General features: G+C 50.9%; 1 protein-coding gene and 1 long non-coding RNA gene across 4 annotated transcripts in view, besides 1 other annotated feature; one reads left to right on the top strand and one right to left on the bottom strand.

Annotated features, from left to right (window-relative positions):
- Positions 599–658: a silencer, noted in NCBI's record as "silent region_3773". NCBI's record gives its function as "represses an Ori minimal core promoter by ATAC-STARR-seq in GM12878 lymphoblastoid cells {active_cell/tissue: GM12878}" and the evidence as "EXISTENCE:reporter gene assay evidence [ECO:0000049][PMID:35858748]".
- Positions 1,645–16,760, bottom strand: MOGAT2 (monoacylglycerol O-acyltransferase 2). 3 transcript variants are annotated; one of them, NM_025098.4, is made up of 6 exons: positions 16,619–16,760; positions 14,428–14,606; positions 6,959–7,163; positions 6,454–6,628; positions 5,609–5,808; positions 1,645–3,466 (listed from the first exon to the last, which is right to left on the bottom strand). In NM_025098.4, the coding sequence occupies exons 1-6, from the start codon at positions 16,707–16,709 to the stop codon at positions 3,312–3,314; spliced, it is 1,005 nt and encodes a 334-aa protein (NP_079374.2). In that variant the 5' UTR covers positions 16,710–16,760; the 3' UTR covers positions 1,645–3,311. The 3 variants fall into 3 exon arrangements, with proteins under 3 accessions (NP_079374.2, XP_011543569.1, XP_024304464.1); XM_011545267.2 differs by lacking the exon at positions 1,645–3,466 and adding an exon at positions 3,896–4,404; XM_024448696.2 differs by lacking the exons at positions 1,645–3,466; positions 16,619–16,760 and adding exons at positions 3,896–4,404; positions 16,210–16,325.
- The window catches only part of LOC105369392 (uncharacterized), a 16,728-nt gene continuing 12,967 nt past the window's right edge, over positions 16,313–20,073 (top strand). Inside the window, exon 1 of the long non-coding RNA XR_950316.4 lies at positions 16,313–16,392. This is a non-coding gene — a long non-coding RNA (uncharacterized LOC105369392). The remainder of the gene's footprint in view (positions 16,393–20,073) is intronic.

Here is a 20,073-nt window from a genome sequence, read left to right as displayed (position 1 = left end):
TAAATTAATAATTGAGTCCTTACGTGGATAGCTCCTGGCACATTAGTTGGGGAGGCCAATTACCATAACAAACACACTCCTATCTCAGTGGCTTGAGCCAGTAAAAGGGCATGTTTTTGCACATGCGAAGTCCAGCATGGATATTCCTGCTTGGGTGGCTCTCTTGGGCAGACCTTCTCTGAGATCAGGGCTCTATACACCTTGCATCTTGTGCTGTTGATATCTTCAACATGAAGCCTCCAAGGTTGCTGTGAAAGAAGGAGAGACCTTTCCTCTCTGGCCCCTCAAGCCTCTCCCCTACCCCTTATCTCCCATCCTGGCACCCGTCTGTCTAATGGCCACCTTGTACTCCATCCTAGCCCAGGCTGGGGGGTCACAGTCATCATTCCTACCTGCAGCTTTTGCTCAAACTGTTGCTCTCACCCCTCTGGGTCCCCTTTATATGGCTGGCTCAGTCTCTGTCCTCCAAGGCAAGCTGCCCTGTGCAGAAGTAAACAGCATCAGTGTGATACAGTCTAGACTCTGAAGCTCATCCACCATCACTGTAGCAGCCAGCCTCCAAGCTGGTGCCCAGGGACTCCACCCCTGGGTATTCACACCCTTGTATGGAGTATAGGCTGGACTTAGTGACTCACATCTAACCAAGAAAGTAAGGTGGAATTGATAGTGTGAAACTCAGAGACCAGGTCATAAAAGGCAGTGTGGCCTCTCTCTTTCTCTTGGCTCACTCACTCTGGGAGAAGCCAAGTAATTGGCAGCCCTGTGGAGAGGCCCACATAGCAAACAACAGAAGCCTCCTGCCAACAGCCACACAAGTAGGCCTGGAAGCAGGTCCTGCAGCCACACTCAGGCCTTCAGAGACCACAGCCCCCGCCCCAGCCCCAGCCTGGCTGCAACCTCATGAGAAACCCTGAGCCAGAACCACTCCACTAAGCCATTCCCAGACACCTGACCCCCGGAAACCGAGAGTCGATGAGGGTTTGTTGTTTAAAGCAGCCAAATTTTGGAGTGATCTGTCATGCAGTGATGCAGAACTAATTTAATCACCTCGGAGGCAAAGCCTGAGTCTTCTTCCCCTTATCCCTGCCCCAGGCCTCATGTGGGTGGGATTGAGAGGAAGCACACATGTGAGAATTCATTTACTCAACCAACTCCCACTCACTGGGGATGCTGAGGTCCTGTGCTGGCGGTGGAGCTGGGTTGAATGGGGCTGAAGCCACCATGGATAAGGGCCTAAGGGGGTTCCCAGTCCACTGGGAGACAGAGAAGTACACTCGCCTATGAATGACTATGACCCTTTCATCCCTGAAGACAGTGCAAAAGAGGGCTGATTCAGGGCAAAGGGCAGAGTTTGAGGGTAGAAGTGTAGGATGAGGTTTGACAAAGGAGGCGACCTTTGGAAGTGAGTGACGCTGACCAGACTGAGAAGAAAGAGTGTTCCAGAAGGAAGGGAACGGTGCGCCCCTAAATAAGCCAGTGCAAGAGCAGAGTATATTCAGAGAGCAGCGAAGGGGGCGGGAGTGACAGGTGGCAAGGGGAGAGGGTCCAGAGGTGAGGCTGGTGGGGTCTAGAGGGCAGATGATAAAGGCCTTGAATGCCAGGCTGAGGAGGAGTTTAGGCATTATCCCGAGGCATTGGACACCATTTCAAGAGTTCAGTTTTATTTGTGAGACAGGATGCAGGTCCTGTTTGTGGGTAGGCTGGAGGGAGTGCACTAGAGGCAGGGGCATTGGCGCAGCATTTACCTGGACAGCAACACCTCCTCCCCAGGGTGCTAAGGGCTGTGGTGGAGGAACAGAAAGTCTGGAGAAGCCAGAGGAAACCCCTGTCAACCAGAGGCACTGGGGAAGACTTCTTTGCACAGATAAAATCAGTATTGTAGGATGAGTAGGAATTATCCAGACAAGGGGGAGATAATGGGGAGGATATGGCATTCCATGGCATCCAACATCATGGGCAAAAACTCAGAGGTGAGACAATATAGCTGAGACAAAGAAATGCAAATGGTTCCGAGTGATGGGAGCACGGAGTAAGGGAGGAAGAGAGATGAGGATGGACAGGCTGGGCCAGATGCTGGAGAGTGGCAAACGGCAGGCTGAGAAGCTCGGGCCTGGAAGTGGACATGTTCCGTCTTCCGTTGACCCCTCCAGATCCACTCTGCCTGTCTTTGCCATTCTCCCTTTCCCAGGAGGCCTACATGCCTGGACTGCAGCCACAGGCCCTCCTTCCCTCCAGCTTCTAGTTGGGCTCAGGCAGTGGGGAACTTGGCAGCAGACTGAATGGAGGAAGGTGAAGTGGGAATGCTTGCTCCTGGCTCCTCCCTTGCAGGGTCACCAGACCTGTTCGTGCCCCTTGACCAGCAATGGCCCCCACACATGAGTCTTCCTGGTTCAGGAACTGCTGCTTCCATTCATCCTTCCAGGCCTCAGGGTGGAAACAGTGCACACACCTCAAAAAATGGTTCCTTTTTAAACCCTCCTCAAATTATCCTCTGGTTCCTGCTGGATCCTGATCCTCTGGATTCAGACTGGTCCAAACCCTATCCTAGGAGCAATGGAGGGTCATGGAAGGATGCTGAGTAGGAAATGGCGCGGTCAGCTTTGTGTTTTAGACAGCTCGCTGTGGCTGTGCATGAGGGATCAACAGGGGAGAGCGAGAGGGAGATAGGGCAGCGATGCAAAGCTGAGCTGGGATCCTCGGGACACACAGTGGTGGTACCATGGTCACACAGGGAATTCCAGGGTGTGTGTGCCTGGGGTGGAGAGTGCTTGTGCTTCAGGCTTTTAGTTTTTAAGTTTTGGTGGATTGTTTGCAAAGACGGCAGTAAGAATCCCTGCATGTGTCCACACCCTTTTGTAATATGACATTGCTGCTCCTCCCATCCAGAGGGGGATCCTATTCCTTACTCCTTGAATCTGCTGGGTTGTGACTTGCTTCGACCAACAGAATGCAGTAGAAGAGATGCTTGTGAGGTGTGCAGCCTAGGACTCGAGTCCGTGCAGCTTTGGCTCTCATCTTTTGGAATCAGCCACCAATGAATGTTAACAGACCACTCAATATAGAGAGGGGCCCAGTGTCCATGTGCAAAGAGAGGCCCAGCCCCTCTAGCAGCCCTCACTGTCCTAGCCCCAGCTGACCCCTTGGTCTGGTCTCCTCTTCTGCATTGCCTGCTCTGACTTACAGCCTGATATGGGTTGGATTTGCAGGAGTCTGGGAAGGCTCTGCAGATATGTTCAACAAACACCTCCAGGAAGTCTTCTCAGCACAGCACCTCCTGCTGGGCTCCCTAATGTTGGCCCTGCCCTTTGGGCTCAGCAGAACTCCAAGTGCTGGTCAGCAGGGATGTTGAACTTAAGTTTGTGGGCCTCGAAGAGGTTGCACAGCTCTTTGATATAACGCTGGTGCAGCTGGTTCACCTCCTCCTCCGAGGGATGCAGCGTCTTCTGTACCTCGATGGGCTTCCCCACTGCAAGGCATAGAGGTGTGCAGTGGCCTAGGGTAGGCAAGGGACCCTCGGTGCAGGTGCCCACCCCCATGGTTCATCCCTGCAGAAAAGTGCTCTTACTCCATTCCTTCCAACCCTAATGAATTTTAAGATATTAGGGCAACTCCAAGATTCTGATATAATAACAACGGCTGGATTTCTTTCTTCCTTTTCTTTTCTTTTCTTTTTTTTTTTTTTTGAGGTAGAGTCTCGCTCTGTAGCCCAGGCTGGAGTGCAGTGGCGCAATCTCAGCTCACTGCAACCTCTGCCTCCTGCGTCCTGGTTCAAGCAATTCTCCTGCCTCAGCCTTCCGAGTAGCTGGGATTACAGGCATGCGCCACCATGCCCAGCTAATTTTTGTATTTTTAGTAGAGATGGGGTTTCACCACATTGGACAGGCTGGTCTTGAATTCCTGACCTTGTGATCTGCCCGTCTCGACCTCCCAAAGTGCTGGGATTACAAGTGTGAGCCACCACGCCCAGCCAGTGGCTGGATTTCAATGTGTCAGGCAATGCACTAGGTGCTTTACATGAAATACTCCCTTTTATCCTATGGGTATAAAAACCTGTCATTCCTATTTGACAGATGAGTCAATGAGGCTCAGAGAGGTTGCCTGACTTGTTCAAGGTCACATAGCCAGGAAGAACCACTGCCAGGTTTTAGACCCCAGGGATGTGCCCTTTACCTTCAGGCTATATGATTTGGGGAGTCCAAGATGCCATGAATGGAAGCGGCTATATTTCTAAGATGGGGTGTGTTCATAGCCCAGGCAGCTCTTCTTTCCCTTCTACCCCTCCACGCTGACCTGCAGTGGCTTCTCTCATCCCAGGGAAGAACCAGGAAGGACCTAACTCATCCCTTTCTCTGGTTCTGCCTGGCTGGGAAGGCAGTTCCTCTGTCCTCTCTTCTGGCAATAGCTCTGGAGGCAGCAGAAATATTAAAATTCATGAAAATATTGCTACACAACACAGGGGAGTTCATGATGTAGGGGTTTACCAAGTCTGCTCAATTAGCAAGTGGATGGATGGAGATGACATGAATGGACTACTCTCTATAAAGTCTGTCGGAGGCCAGGCGTGGTGGCTTATGCCTGTAATCCCAGTGCTTTGGGAGGCAAAGCCTGGGTGATCACTTGAGGTCAGGAGTTCGAGACCAGCCTGGCCAACATGGTGAAACCCTGTCTCTACTAAAAATACAAAAATTACCCAGGCGTGGTGGCACGCACCTGTAATCCCAGCTACTCTGGAAGTTGAGGCAGGAGAATCGCTTGAACTTGGGAGGTGGAGGTTGCAGTGAGCTGAGCTCATGCCACTGCACTCCAGCCTGGGCAACAGAGCAGGACTCTGTCTCAAAAAAAAACAAAAAAAAAAAAGAATTAAACCCTCCTTCTCTGGCATTGTAAAAAGTCAGAATGATCTTAGTAAAAACCTCAACTTTGTTATTCAAAAACAGTGTGATATTTTGGAAGTTACTTAACTTCTCTGAGCCCCAGTTTACCATCAATGAAATGGGGATAGTAACTCCTGTCTTGAAGGTATGGCCAGGCGCGGTGGCTCATGCCTGTAATTCCAGCACTTTGGGAGGCCAAGGCAGGCAGATCACTTGTGGTCAGGAGTTTGAGAACAGCCTGGCCAACATGGTGAAACCCCATCTCTACTAAAAATACAAAAATTAGCTGAGTGTTGTGGCGAGCGACTGTAGTCCCAGCTACTCAGGAGGCTGAGGCATGAGAATCTCTTGAACCCAGGAGGCGGAGGTTGCAGTGAGCTGAGATTGTGCCATTGCACTCCAGGCTGAGCGACAAGAGCAAAACTCTTAAAAAAAAATCCTGCCATGAAGATTGTTAGGATAAGCTGAGTTGCTTCATGTAGGGCAGCTAGTGTAGTGCCTGGCACACAGCAGGTGCTCAGCAATTAGTCACAACTATTGCTGTTGGCACCTCTGCTATAGTTCCTATCCCAGACTGTCTTCTATTCTATCTGCTTGTGTGTGTATGTTTCCCAGTCTAGAATGTGAGCCCCATTAGGGCAGGAATAAATCTGGCTCATCTCCATGTCCCCTTGCAGCACACAACCTGCCCTGTCCCTTTGGCCTCCTCCCTCCCAGCCTGGTCCTGGACTTACCCACAGTGGTGATGGGCCGGCGGTAGGGTATTAAACCAAAGCTGTACTGGAAGACACCACGGCCATGAAAGAGTGGGAGGGAGATGCCCATGATCTTCTGCAACCGATTCTGGATATAGCGTAACCAGGAGCCAGAAGAGTTGGGAATCTGGTCAAATAGGTCATTCTCCCCGAAGGAGAAGATTGGCACCAGGGGTGCCCTGGAGACAAATAGAGGAAAGAGGGCATGTGGGAGGCCCCAGAGAAGGCACGAGCTGAAAGGCCCTTTAGCTTCCTGCAGGGACTCAGTGACCAAGAAATGGAGCAGAGGTCAGCCACCTGGGCTGGAGGTGGAGGCCTGGGTTATCTCCCAGACCTTCACAGCCCCATTCTCTGACCTTGGGCAGGTCCCTTGCAGGGCCACAACTTCCCAGTTGCACCATGAGAGGTAGACCAGAATGCTTCAGAGAGTCCTCCCAGATATAAAAATCTGCATTGTTTTTCCTAGAAAAATATCTCCCACCTCAGCTGGCTCATGTTTCTCAAGGATGCTTCACCCCAAGGAGGGAGAACAGCTCTGAAATGTACCCCAAATATCACTCTTCTAGATACCACAGATCTCAGATCAAATGCCAGCTTTGTGGAATATGTTCATTGCCACCTAGTTTCTTAGATCACTGAGTCTCCGTTGTGGAAACTTTTCTAGGTATTTGGGCATAAGACACCAAAATATAATCTTAATTGTGAATGGACTGAAAATCTCTACCAAAATAGAATCTGCATTCGTCTCTGCCATCTTCCCACCAAAATAAAATCCTTGCCAATTGCCAACTGAACCCAGAGTGCTCTTCCCAGAGGCTTGATACCCGTGTGTCAGGGCGAGCCTGACGAAGCCCTTTCGGTTCCGCAGTAACAGCGTGAAGGATCCAGGCCTGGCATCCAGGGCCTCCTGGGCACCCCCTACAATGATGCCCAGCAAGTTTCCGCCACCCTTCCTGTTCAGAATGTGAGCAGCACTCTCCTTTTCTGATGTGACCAACCCTAGGGAAAGAGAAAAGTGGGTCAGGTATGGGGTGAGGGAGCAGGGGCTATGAAAGTACATGTAGCCCATAAAGAGATCACCAGCAATGCCTACTGAGGCCTGGGGTTTTTCCCCCACTGCACCCCATTCCAGCTAGGAGCTCCCTGAGTCTTCTCCCTCTTCCCAACCCCCTGATGGACTCAGCGCCCAGCATGGTGCTGTAGGAAGTGCTTCTTTGGGCCTAGCCTCCTTCTCCTACTGCACACGCTCTTGGAAGAAGTACAGAACTATTGGCAACCCTTCCGAAAATTTGTTACCTTCCTGAGCTGCTCAGGGGTAGAAAGACTCACCTGCAGACATGATGTAATCTCTGAAGAAGGGGGCCCGGAACCACAAGGTCAGCATCATCAGATGGGGGCGGATACCGGGGAAGATCGAAGAGAAGCCTGTGCTCTCAGTGCACAGGTTGGCAAAGGCTCCGACTGCCAGGACTCCATGGGGGTGGAAGCCCGCAATGTAGTTCCGAGAGGGGTCCAGCTCAGCAGTCTTGACCAGCTGCAGGGACGGCAACCTGCTGAGCCAGGGCGGGGCCTGTGTACCAGCCCTGACTCTGCCACTCACTGGTGTGACCTTGGGAAACCTCCCCTCTGAGCCTCCAGGTCTTCATCCATATGTCTGACCACCCTGGGTTCTTACGAAGATTCAGATATGGTATGTGACAGCACCTGGAGATATTATGGTGCTGGCTGTGCCACAGACTTGATGCTGGCTTGGGACAAATTGCTTCCCTCTCCTACAGGCTCTTCATTTGTAAAGTGGCAATAGAGTATTTGGACCTGTCCCTGCTACCTCCTAGGGCTACTGAGAAACTCAGGTATGATGGTGCCTAGAATTATTTATACCAACACCACCTGGACAGGATATAACATGAAGACACCAAAAGGCCACATGGAGGCACCGCCATGCTGAAACAGCCCCATTTTAAGAAAAACAGTGTTCCAGCCAGGCGCGGTGGCTCACGCCTGTAATCCCAGCACTTTGGGAGGCCAAGGCGGGTGGGTGACCTGAGGTCAGGAGTTTGAGACCAACATGGTGAAACTCCATCTCTACTAAAAATACAAAAATTAGCTGGGCGTGGTGGCGGGCACCTGTAATCCCAGCTACTAGGGAGGCTGAGGCAGGAGAATTGCTTGAACCCAGGAGGCAGAGGTTGCAGTGAGCCGAGATCACACCACTGCATTCCAGCCTGGGCAACAGAGCAAGACTCAGTCTCAAAAAAAAAAAAAAAAAAAATCAATGTTCCTCCATATCCATGAGACATCTATGGATTCAAACAACCTCAGATGTATTCAGAAAAAAAAATAGATTGTTGCACCTGTAGTGAATATATACAGACTTTTTTCCTTTATCAGTATTCCCTAAACAACATTCCATACCATTTCCATTGTATTAGGTGTCATACATATTCTAGAGATGGGTTACTGTATATGGGAGGATGTGCATAAGGTATAGGCAAATATTACATCATTTTATACGAGGGACGTGAGCATCAGTGGATTTTGGTATCTGCGGGGGTCCGGGAACCAGTCCCCAATGGATGTCTCGGGGCAAAAAATTGGCACTTCAGATGTGGGAATGAGGCTTTGTAGGCCATCTGAGGAGCGAGTCCTGTTGGGTGGAAAGCTCTAGCCCTGTTTACCCGTATGCATGATGCATGGCACCCTGTGGCTCTCTGCTTCCCCTCGCCAGGCCTTCATTGCCCCTTGGCCACTCTCTTTCCCCAGCCATCGCAGCAGCTTGCCTGGGTCTGGCCAGGCCTGCAGCATGAGAGTGTAGCAGCATCCAACGGACGTTGTAGATTGAGTGAGAGAGAGCTGCTGTCATTAGCAGCTTCTAGGTGAAGTGGGGTGAAGGTGAAAGGGGAAGAAATGCAGTTAACAAATGCTGCTCCTGGCCAGATACCGGACGGGCTGTGCCAAGCAGCTGAATCTACAAAGACTATCGCTGTGGGTGGTGATTGTAAGGAACTGCGGGGGCCACCCTTTTCAGTGCCTTGTGTCTGGAAGACCCCGGCCATCGGAGTCCAAGGGTCCCCAGGGTCTCTGGCCCAATCACACATACCCCATCGGGAGGCTCCCTGATAGGACTGCCCAGGCCCTGCAATGTGCACTCCCTCAGGTCAGAGGCCAGCCTTTCCCCTCTGGCACAGCTTTGCCAGTGTAAAAATTCTTCCTGTCATCAAGATGCAGCTGGTGACTCCCTGAGGGTTCTTGTTGGGGAGCAGCAGAGGCCTGGCTGCCCTCTCTCAGAGCAGACTGGAGACATCTGTAAGGCCTGGAGCCTGTCTGCCCCATCCAGGCTGAACAGTTCCACATTCTCCTGTCCTTGACCCGGACATGGCCTCTGCAATTTATTTATTTATTTATTTATTTATTTATTTATGAGACAGAGTCTCACTCTGTTGCCCAGGCTGGAGTGCAGTGGCATGATCTCAGCTCACTGCAACCTCCACCTCCCAGGTTCAAACAATTTTTATGCCTCAGCCTCCCAAACAGCTTAGATTACAGGCACATGCCATCACACTTGGCTAAATTTTGTATTTTTTAGTAGAGACAGGGTGTTTCACCATGTTGCCCAGGCTGGTCTCAAACTCCTGGCCTCGTGTGATCTGCCCACCTTAGCCTCCCAAAGTACAGGTGTGAGCCTCCGTGCCTGGCCTGGTGGTGGTTCTTTAAAAACCTATCTAGCTCAATGCATGGAAACACTTGCTTATAAATTTTCATTCACTGCTAGTGGGAGGGTAATTTTGCACCTCCATAAACACAATTTGACAATATCTACCAAACCCAAAAAATATAACTGATCTTTTAACCCAGCAACTCCACTGCTGAGGAATTTAGCCTACAGAATTTCTCACACTTGTGCAAAATGACACCTGAACAAGGTTATTCACAGAAGCATCAGGTTTTGGTGATATGAAAAATTTGTCATCCACTTAAATGACCATCAGCAGGGCCTATTTAGACAATTTGTGAAACATCCACACAATGGACCGTTGTGTCACCATAGAGAAGTACAGCAGCTTTTTCTGTCCTGATAGGGAAAAAGGGCCATGGCAGCTTGTTAACTGGAAAAGCAAGGTGGGGGACAATGTGTGGAGAGTGTTGCAACTGTGCAGAGAAGGGAAAAACACATTTGCTTTATATGGATACACCAAACACTGGTAGTCATCGTTGCCTCTGAGGACAGGAACTGGGGAGATGGGACATGATGTGGAATGAGGACTTTTCACACCTACCCTTTGGTCTGTTTTTGAATTTTTTTTTTTTTGAGACAGTCTCACTCTGTCACCCAGGCTGGAGTGCAATGGCGTGATCTCAGCTCACTGCAACCTCTGCCTCCTGGGTTCAAGCAATTCTCCTGCCTTAGCCTCCCGAGTAGCTGGGATGACAAGCGCCCACCGAGCATGAACTTGGATACGTGCACATAAATGCATGTGCTAATACTGGCTCAGTGACCTAGACACAGGCCCTCCCACAGTGCAGGCACTTGGATACTGAGGTGTGGTCTGCACCTCCCTAGATGTGGTCTCTATTGGTATCTTTCTGTGCTAACCTCTTCCATCTGTCCCCTGGACCCAAATCTATCACAACATCCCTGTGAAGATTACAGACCATGTATCTGATGCATCTGTGTCCCCAGTGCAGGCCTGGAACAGAGGAGATGCTCTGGAAAGGGTATAGCATGAAGGAAGGAAGGAATGAGCCCAATGGATGAGGCTGGTACAGCCTCAGAAGGAAGGCTCCCTGACCCCAATCCTATCCTGGCATGTCACCAGGGTTCCACTAGTGGGAAAAAGAACCTTGAGTCAGGAGACCCCGGTTCTGCCGCTGGCTCATCACATGACCATTGCCAAGCCCCTGTCCCCTCTGTGGCTCAATTATTTCTGTCCCACAGGACACTGATAACGCCTCCCTGGCAGGGTTGCTACAGGGTTCAAGGGGGGTAAACAAAGAAGAGGGGAGGTTTGTGAAGTGCTGTGGTCTGTCTCCCTCCCTCAGTTCTGTTAGGCGAGGGGAGTGTGACTAAGCGAAGATAGATGGCTGTCTGGGGAAAATCCTGCCTGGGTGCATGCCCTGGCAGGCTGGGTGTGCAGTAGGCAGTGGGGCCTGGAGAAGGGCACAGCCAGGTTACTAGGCTCTGGGGGCTGCTATTGCTTTTAGTTGATATAATTTATGCACCATAAAATGCATCCGTTTAAAGTATGACATTCAGGGTTTCAGTATATTTAAAAGGTGTGGGATAGGTGTGGTGGCTCACACCTCTAATCTCAGCATTTTGGGAGGCCAAGCAGCCTGGCAACACAGTGAGACTCCATCTCTACAAACATTTTTTTAAAAGTTGTGGTGGTGCGTGTCTGTAGTCCAAGCTACTTGGGAGGCTGAGGCAGGAGGATTGCTTGAGCCCAGGAATGAGGATCCCTACTGTCTCTTCACCCCATGATCCCTGCGGGGCCTGGGCAGTAAAGGCGTGTGGGAGGGTGGGAGGGTCTATGGAAAGAGCGTCTACAGGCCACAGCCCCACCCCACAGGCCCAGCTTAGGACATAGTCAAAATGAACATCATCTCGCCCTCTGCTGGCCACTCAGTGGCATTGTCACCCTCGGCAGATGGTGCTGCAAAGGGCCTGCGGTGAGGAAGGATCCTGGAAAAAAAAACAAAAAACAAAACAGTGCACAGAGCCAGGTGCAGTGTCTGACACCTGTAATCCCAGCACTTTGGGAGGCTAAGGTGGGCGGTCAGGAGTTCGAGACCAGCCTGGCCAACATGGTGAAATCCCGTCTCTACTAAAAAAATACAAATCAGCCGGGAGTGGTGGCGGGCACCTGTAATCCCAGCTACTCAGGAGGCTGAGGCAGGAGAATCGCTTGAACCTGGGAGGTGGAGGTTGCAGTGAGCCGAGATCACGCCACTGCATTCCAGACTGGGCAACAAAAGTGAAACTCCGTCTCGAAAAAAACAAAAACAAAACCAAAACAAAGAAACAAAAAGATGCACATAGAATTTCTGCAAATCGAGGCCTGTGTCCCACCAGTGTCAACAGTACTAAGGTTGAGATATCCTCCTCAAAAGCCACCTGGCTGGGGAAGGAGCAGGAAGGACGGACGTTGATAGGGTAGGCGCAGAGCTGCCTCAGCATTTCTGCCAGACCTGCAAATGGAAATGCTCCAGGTGCAAAGAGGGCCAGATGCTGTCCTTTGAGGCCATTGGGCTGGCTGAAGACACCCCGGGAGAACTTTCAGGTGAGCAGTCCCAGTCCTGCGGAATGTCCTCCAATGGCCTCCACCCTCTGACCTGAGGGCCTCCCCAGCCTCCTCTGCAGGCCTGCCTTCTGCTTTAGCCGCGCTGAATGTCAGGCTGTGGCTCAGAACTCACCCTGCGGCAAGTGTCTGGGCCTGTGCTTGTGTGTTTGCCTTTTCAGGCTGCTTTTCCTTTCCCCCCCGGTGAGCTTGGGATTCAGCTCAAGAGTGGGAAGTGAGACCAGAGCCAGAACCTCTGAAGCTCTCCCGGAGGCCAGAGCCTGCTTCAGGTTTTCTTTGGCTTGGTCCCTGATGTCACACACACGTCCCCAGGCTGGCCACAGCACACTTTCCCAGGGAAACTCTGACCTTCCTGGCACAGAAGAGGAAGCCCAGGCTGGAGAGAGGAGAGGCAGGAAAGGGAGGTGAATCTCAAAGTGCAGAGGTCCTGGGGTGGGGATGAGGACTCTGCCTCTGACACGTCCATGACTGCTCCCAGAACTCAGCAAGCCCTAAGTTTCTTTGCTGACAAGACCCAGGAGTGGGCCCTGCAGGAAACACATATGAGGTGCAGGGGAAACTGCCCCCATCCTGAGCCCCCCAGGCTAGACCATGTTCCGCCTTACCACATCTACCACCCTTCGTGAGCACGGCAGTCTCTGCCAGCCGCTGCCCGCTGTCTGCCCAGCACCCCCATTGCCCTTTGCCCTGGAGGCCCTGCTCACTGCAGTGCTAGAGGCTCCTGCATTCCAGCTGTGGCTCAGCCTTTGCTAGTCCTTCTTGGGCCCCTGGACTCTCAGAAGGGAGCAAGGCAGGAACCCCAACCACCCTGCGTTCCCATAATTCAGACAAGTTGCTTAACTTTGGTGGGTTTGTTTCCTCTACCCCTCCCCCTTTGCAAGCTGGAGACCTTGTTTCTGATGGGACAGGAAGAGGTAGGGTTCCCAGGCGGGGTGGGAGAAGTTACGTAGGTGTGGAGGTCAGAGCAGCAGGGCTTGGGCTCTCAGAGTCCTCCCCAGACTCGAGGTCACGACCACACTTCCTCAGAGTCCCACTGCCGAGGTAAAATAATACTAGCTACCTGTTTACTGAAAACCTACAAAGTGCTAGCCAGGCACAGTGGCTCACACCTGTAATCCCAGCACTTTGGGAGGCTAAGGTGGGCAGATCACCTAAGGTCGGGAGTTCGAGACCAGCCTGACCAACATGGAGAAACCCCGTCTCTACTAAAAATACAAAAATTAGCCAGGTGTGGTGGCCGGCACCTGTAGCCCCAGCTACACGGGAGGCTGAGGTAGGAGAATTGCTTGAACCTGGGAGGTGGAGGTTGCAATGAGCTGAGATCGTGCCATTGCACTCCAGCCTGGGTGACAGAGCGAGACTCCATCTCAAAAAAAAAAGAAAACCTACAAAGTGCTTTACTTGCTTTGTCTCATTGAATCTACACAACCCAGTGAGGTATGTGTCATTATCCCCATTTTACATATGAGGAAACTGAGGCTCAGAGAGACCAACTTACCTACGATCATACAGCTGATATGGTATGGGGCAGACTTGGGATCAGAATCTAGTCTGCCTGTCTCCACGGGCCATATCTTACCCCTTTCTTCTCTCCTGCTTCCAGAGGAGGGCCAACTGCCCCTGCCTGTCCCTTCTCTGCGTCCCCACTGCCTTCCCCATCCTATCCCTTCTGGCCAATAAACCATCACTGCCTGGCTGCATAGATCAAGGCTTTAAATTGCCTGGGATTCCGTTGAAGGAGCCGAAAGATCTGCTCACTCAAATCCAGGGATCTGCTCTGCTCTGGACACAACTTCAAGTCCAGGGCCCAGCGTCCACAATGACCACGAGGTGACAGGAGTCGGAAAGCCAGAGATTTGAAGGCATGCAGAGGAGGAGGAATCAGTGTACTTACTAGATACATGGGGAGACTGAGCCTCAGAACAGGATAAAGCTTTGCCCAAAGATATACCACATGCCAGAGTTAGGGTCAGGGTAGGATCTGAGAACAATTCAGGGCTCTCTCCTCTGTCCCTTTGCCCACAGTCAGTGTACACACTTGGAAATCTGTAAAAGAACTTGCTGTGTGACCTTGGTGACATTTCCTCCATCTCTGGGTGTCAGCCTCCTCTTCTGATGAATGTTAAGTGTGAGGCTAGATGGTCCTTAGAACCTGTAAGTTTATTACCTTCACTCCCAAGCCTGGGCTGCTGATGGGTTTGTGCCTTTAAGATACATAGGCATGCCTCACACCATATAACCCACAGAACTCCTTCAAATGCTGGACATCCATCAATCCACATATTGGCCCCGCATCCCTGCAGATGCGAAACCATGATCGGAGAGAAGCTGGACTCTTCTCTAGGTCACATAGTAGCGGAAGCCCTAGCTCCTGCCTCCCAGCCCAGTACCCTCCTCAGTGCATGCAGGGCCATATTCTCCCATGGAGACGTCGGCACTCTGGCCCTGACCACACCCCAGCCAACTCCCTCCCCAACCCCAACCAGCCTCAATACTCACCGAGATGGGGAAATAGTCCTTCATGTACTTCCATATAGTCCAGCACCTGATGGCCTGGATGTGCCGGCCCCCCTGCCGTGGCTTGTCTCGGTCCAGATACCACCAGGCCGCATACAGGACAGTGAGGAGCCAGAATCTTGTAAACAGGAGGGCTATGAAGCCCACAGTGCAGATCTCGGCTGGGGAGGGAAGAAGGAGCTGTCAGGGACAGGGGTCTGAGAGGAAGGCAGGTGAGATTGCTCAGACTGAACTCTGCCCATAGGCCTGGCACTAGCAGCACTGTCCTGTCCAATCCTCGGGCCCAGGAGGAAGACAGCAGCTTCCGGGGCATTCAAAGAGGAGACAAAGTCCCTGAGAGGGACTACGGCCAGCCCAGTGTCACTGGGAGCACGCGTTGAGCCTAGGTAGGCCTAACTCCAAAGCTCACTTTCTCCCACTGCACCAGGCCGCCTAATTCACTCCATCCCCTGCCTGTCCTCCTTCTCCCCAGGAGAGTTGTTTGTACTCATTAAGTGCTCAATCAATGGGGACAACTGGTTGGATAAACTGTTCTAGTTTCCATCTTTTGGGATCTCAGAGCAAAGGGAGACCCTTTCCTGCTCTCTTTCTGTTCATCCTCTGCCCCATTTTCCCAGAGATAAATCCAGCCAGGTGCCTCCCCTTATTCAAGCCCTTCATGACTTCCCCATAACTTTGGGCACAGTCCAAGTAGCTCAGCCTGGCCTCCAGGAGCCCCAGAGCTGGCCCTGTCCCTCCCGCTCCTGCCTCTTGTCTGTGGCCACTCTGAACTACACAGTGTTCCCAAACCTGCTGAGCTCTGATTCCTTTGCCTTCAGTGACCAGTGACGTTTGTTGTTGAAAGGAGGGAGGGAGGAAGAGGCCAGCCCCTGGCCGCCCCATAATCAGGGGTGCATCAGGGCTAAGACCAGGCCTAGTGTGGAATTCCCCTCTGACTGATGGTTTCTCAGCCCTTACTGGAGGCAAATCCTTGATTGTTTGGCTCATCTGTGCAAAGGGGGTATACAGGAATGTGTAAAATGTCTAAAAACCCTTAGAACAGAGACACAGCTCAACCAGAAGGGATGCTAGGGCAGGGTCCTGGAGGGCCTGCTTTGCCAAGGGGGAGTTTTTTCACTACAGAATTGTGGGGGAGTTTCTGAGGAAGTACGTGTGTGTGTGTGTGTGTGTGAGAGAGAGAGAGAGAAAGAGAGATGGCTACTGAGCAATGTGTTCAGAGTGTGTCAATATTTTAACAACCAGGAGAGTGGTATCTGTGTACAGGCTGAACCTCAGCCCTGGAAGCAGCAGTTCCTACCTTGTCTGGTGCCAGCAGATGAAAGGAAAAACCCCACGGACTCCTAGTCATTCTCCCTTCCCAAGCCACAGATCCAGACCCTCCTAGAAAATGTTACCTTTGGCAGAGCTATTGTTTGGGCAAGGGTGATCTCTCTGGCCACAAATCAGTGGTGGGGTGGGTAAGGGGCCATGCTCATGCCCTCCAGTGTGAGCCCAGCCCAGGGTCCAGGCCAGGTCTGTGCCAAGCAGAGGTCAGCACATTTCTTCATTTCCTTCACAATAGCCCTGCAAGGCCAGCATTGTTGTCCCCGTTCTGCAGATGGTGAAGTCGAGGCTTGGAGAGGTCAGGCATGGGCTGGCTAAAGTCAGTTGCCCAGCTGAGTCTGACTCCGGGTTTCCTGGTACCCAGCATGCCCACTCCACAGTCCACTCTCAGTCTGCACCTTCTCCCCACCCTTCTTTTCTTTCCCTGTTTCTCTCACTTACCCTACTACCAGCCCCAGTTTCCTCCTCCCTGAGCGCACAGAAGGAAATCTCTCCTCTCTGAGCAGGCTGCAGAGCCCAGAACTTTCCCGTCATCGCCCAGAGGCTTTCCCACACCACTTGGCAGCCTGCAGACTGGTCTTCATCCAAGTGCCAAAGGAGAACCCACAGTGCAAGCCAGGAAGAGTAAGTAACCTGCCCAGAGCAGCAGACGGTGACTTCTACCCCACTCCACCCCCAAGAAGCCTCTGGGCAGGCCCAGGAGTTCTCTCTGGGCAGGGGCTCTGAGCGCAACAAAGCCCCCTTTAGGATAAATGTCTTGCCACCATCAATGTGCTGTGTGCACCTGGTGTGGCTGCTCTGCCCCACCTGAGTGCGGTGGTCTCCCGTCTTACAGTGCAGCCCAACTTACCCAGTGCCAAGAAGGAGAAGACAAACTGTAGGACAGCAAGTGTCTGCAGCCTGCGCTCCCACGGCATAAACAAGGGCGCGAACTCTACCATGCTGGCGGGTCAGCCTGGCTCCCGCAGGTTCTGTGAGCTCTGCTGTGGTCTGAGGCACCCACAGGTTTTTGTTCCCTCCCCAGGTTGTAGAAGCTGGCAGGGAGAGTGCCACACCCAGCCCAGCCCAGCCCAGCCCCAAGGCCTCCTTGCCCCTGCTGAGGCAGGAAATTCTATCCTACAAGAAACCTTTGAATCTACCTGCTGGAGCCTGGCTAAGGAAGGAGGAAGAGAAGGGGTTGTATAGCCTTTATCAACTTTCTCAGGCAATGCCTTATCTGCATGGCTGCCTTTCCCCAATTGCTTAAATCTTGTCCTTCCTATAACTAGGCAGGTGAAGCCCCAAGCATATGCAATCTCACCCCCTTCCCACCTATTCAATGACCTGGCCCCAAGGTCAATGGATAGGATAACCTTGTCCTGTCCATTGTTCCCCCTCCACACATATGCTGTACTAACTCCCACCTAAAAATCCCCACCCACACTGTGTCCTCCACCTCCTGCCCCATTTTTCTGCTCACTCACACAGCAAACTCTCGGAAGAGCTATCTTTCATGCCTTCCTGTCCTCACCTCCCATCTGTGGTACCACAAATGGTGGTCCACACTTCAGGTATCACCCTTCCACAAAACTGCCCTTGGCAAGTTCCCTAGTGACCTCCATGATGTTAAATCCAGTAATCAATTCTCAGATCTCATCCTGACCTATTGGCAGCATTAGATATGGTTGATCATTCCCGTTTCTTTGAAACCACTTGGCCTTTGGACACTATGCTCTCCCAGTTTTCTTCCTAGCTCTCTGGCTGCTCCCTTTGTGCCTCTCGTCTTTCACCAGGCCAGCTGTTCGAGTCCCCCTCCTCCACTCCATCCTCGGGACTTCTCTTTTCTCTCCAGTTTCTGCTCTCTGAGATCTCATCCAGGCTCACACCTTGCATTGTATTTACACAGCAAAGACTTCCAAATCTGCATCTGCAGCTCTGCTCCCTGGGGCTCTAAACTTGAATCTCTAGGTGGCTCCTTGACATCTTCACTTGAATGCCTGATAGGCACCTCCATCGTAGCATGTCTAAAGGTGAACTTGATTCCCTCCCCCACCTCCCTTCTGCCCCACTGACTCCTCCTCTGCTCTTTCCCATCTCAGTAAAGGGTAATGCCATTTACCCAGTTGCTCAGGCCAAAACCTGAGTCACACTAGATCCCTTCTGTTCTTCTCCATCCACCTCTACCAGTCACCATGTCCTATCAGTTCTTCTAAGTCCCTCCTTTTAAATGTCAACTTCAAATTGACGTATACCATACATACGGAAAAATGCACAAATCCTAAGCGGACAGAGAAATGTCTTTTCACAAAGTGAAAGTTATCACCACTCTGATCGACAAACAGAACTTACCTAGCACCCCTTCTGGCCTTGCCAGTCACTGCTCTCCTCCCTGTAGCTCAGCACCATCCTCATCTCTGTTCTTGAACTTTATGAAAACTGAATCATTTAGTGTATACTCTTTTGAGACATCATATGTGCCTGTATTGCCTTTGTTTTCATTGCTGTATAGCATTCCATTGTGTGAATATGCCACAAAGTGTCCATTTGGACGCTGACAGGCATTTGGGCTGTCACCTGTTTCTGGCTATTATGAATATTGCTGCTACGAACATTCCTGTACATGTCTTTCAGTACACATCTATACACATTTCTGTTGGGTATGTGCCTGGAAATAGAATTGATGGGTCTCATGGTAGATAGCCATAGAGTTTTCCAAAGTGGTTGTACAAATCTACACTCCCATAGCCTTATATAAGAATTCCGAGTTCTGAATTTTGGTGGGTGTGTAGTGGTCCTTCATTGTGGTTATAGCATTTTCCTAACAACTAATAAATATAAGCACATTTTAATATGCTTACTGACCATTTGGATATCATTTTCTATGACCTTCTTGTTCTAGTGTTTTGTTGATTTCAGTCTCTTGAACTGAACAGCTGCTGTCTACCTCCACAGCCAGCCTCTTTTATAGACTGGCTCTGTCTTCCTTATTGGCCTCTCCGTTTACTTTCTATCCTCATTCTCCTCTCCACAATTTCAACACAGCAGGAGAAACTGCTGGGTTTATGAATATGTGAATGTTCAAGTTTGGGAGTAGAGCCAAACTGTTTTCCAAAATAATACATCAAGGTATAGTCTCCCCAAGAATCGAGAGACCCCACCCCCACCCCCATGGATCTGCTCTGACCCTTGGTATGGTCAGACTTCTTCTTGTCTTGCTAGGGTATGAAATGAGACCAAATTTTACTCTTGATTTTCATTTTCTTATCACTAATTTTTTTTTTTTGAAACCAAATCTCCCACTGTCGCCCGGGCTGGAGTGCACTGGCACCATCTCGGCTCACTGTAACCTCTGCCTCCCGGGTTCAAGCCATTCTCCTGCCTCAGCCTCCCAAGTAGCTGGGACTACAGGTGCCCACCACCATGCCTGGCTAATTTTTGTATTTTTAGTAGAGATGGGGTTTTACCATATTGGTCAGGCCGGTCTCAAACTCCTGACCTCAGGCGATTCGCCCGCCTTGGCCTCCCAAAGTGCTGGGATTACAGGCGTGAGCCACCGCGCCCGGCCTACACTAATGTTGAACATCTCTTTATTTATGGGCATTTCCTCTTCTGTGAAAAGCTTGGTCTTTATTTTTGCCCAATTCTCTGGAGTGTTGTTTGTGCTTTTCATAATCATTTGTACTTCGTTATGTACTCAGGATATTAACCCTTTGGTGTGGCATATATATTGTAAATCTCTTCTCCCAGTTTCTAGCTTGTCTTTTTTTTTTTTTTGAGAAGGAGTCTCACTCTGTTGCCAGGCAGGAGTGAAGTGGCACGATCCCGGCTCACTGCTGCCTCCACCTCCCAGGTTCAAGTGATTCTCCTGTCTCAGCCTCTCAAGTAGCTGGCATTACAGGCACCCGCCACTATGTCCAGCTAATTTTTGAATTTTTAGTAGAGATGGGGTTTCACCATGTTGGCCAGGCTGGTCTTGATCTCCTGACTTCAAGTGATTCACCCTCCTCAGCCTCCCAAAGTGCTGGGATAACAGGCGTGAACCACCGCGCCCAGCCCTAGCTTGTCTTTTAAGATGTCCTTTGATGAACAAACATTTTTTCAATATGTCATATTTTCCAGTCTTTTATAAAATACACATTGTTTGGTTGGATCTAGGAAATCTTGTCTTACTTATACATTTCATTAAAAATTTTGAAGTTTTGTTTTTTATATGTAAGTCCTAATTCATCTGGATGTTTAGATAGTATGAGTTAGGTTCCAATCTGAGCTTTTGACATGTGGATAAGCATTTTTTTTCAGTCTCTTTGTTGAACACTCCCTCCGTTC

Source organism: Homo sapiens, chromosome 11, assembly GCF_000001405.40.
Source record: "Homo sapiens chromosome 11, GRCh38.p14 Primary Assembly".
Taxonomy (NCBI): domain Eukaryota; kingdom Metazoa; phylum Chordata; class Mammalia; order Primates; family Hominidae; genus Homo; species Homo sapiens.
Note: the sequence above shows the minus strand (reverse complement) of the source record. Positions and strands in the feature narration are given on the sequence as shown.

What these genes read in the sequence shown, in the direction of transcription:
- MOGAT2 (XM_011545267.2), bottom strand. Translation starts at nt 16,709, where the DNA reads ATGGTAGAGTTCGCGCCCTTGTTTATGCCGTGGGAGCGCAGGCTGCAG. An exon ending in CTTCTCCTTCTTGGCACTGG is followed by an intron (nt 14,607 to 16,618) that starts GTAAGTTGGGCT and finishes TTCCCTCCCCAG; the next exon opens with CCGAGATCTGCACTGTGGGC. An exon ending in AGGACTATTTCCCCATCTCG is followed by an intron (nt 7,164 to 14,427) that starts GTGAGTATTGAG and finishes CCGTCCCTGCAG; the next exon opens with CTGGTCAAGACTGCTGAGCT.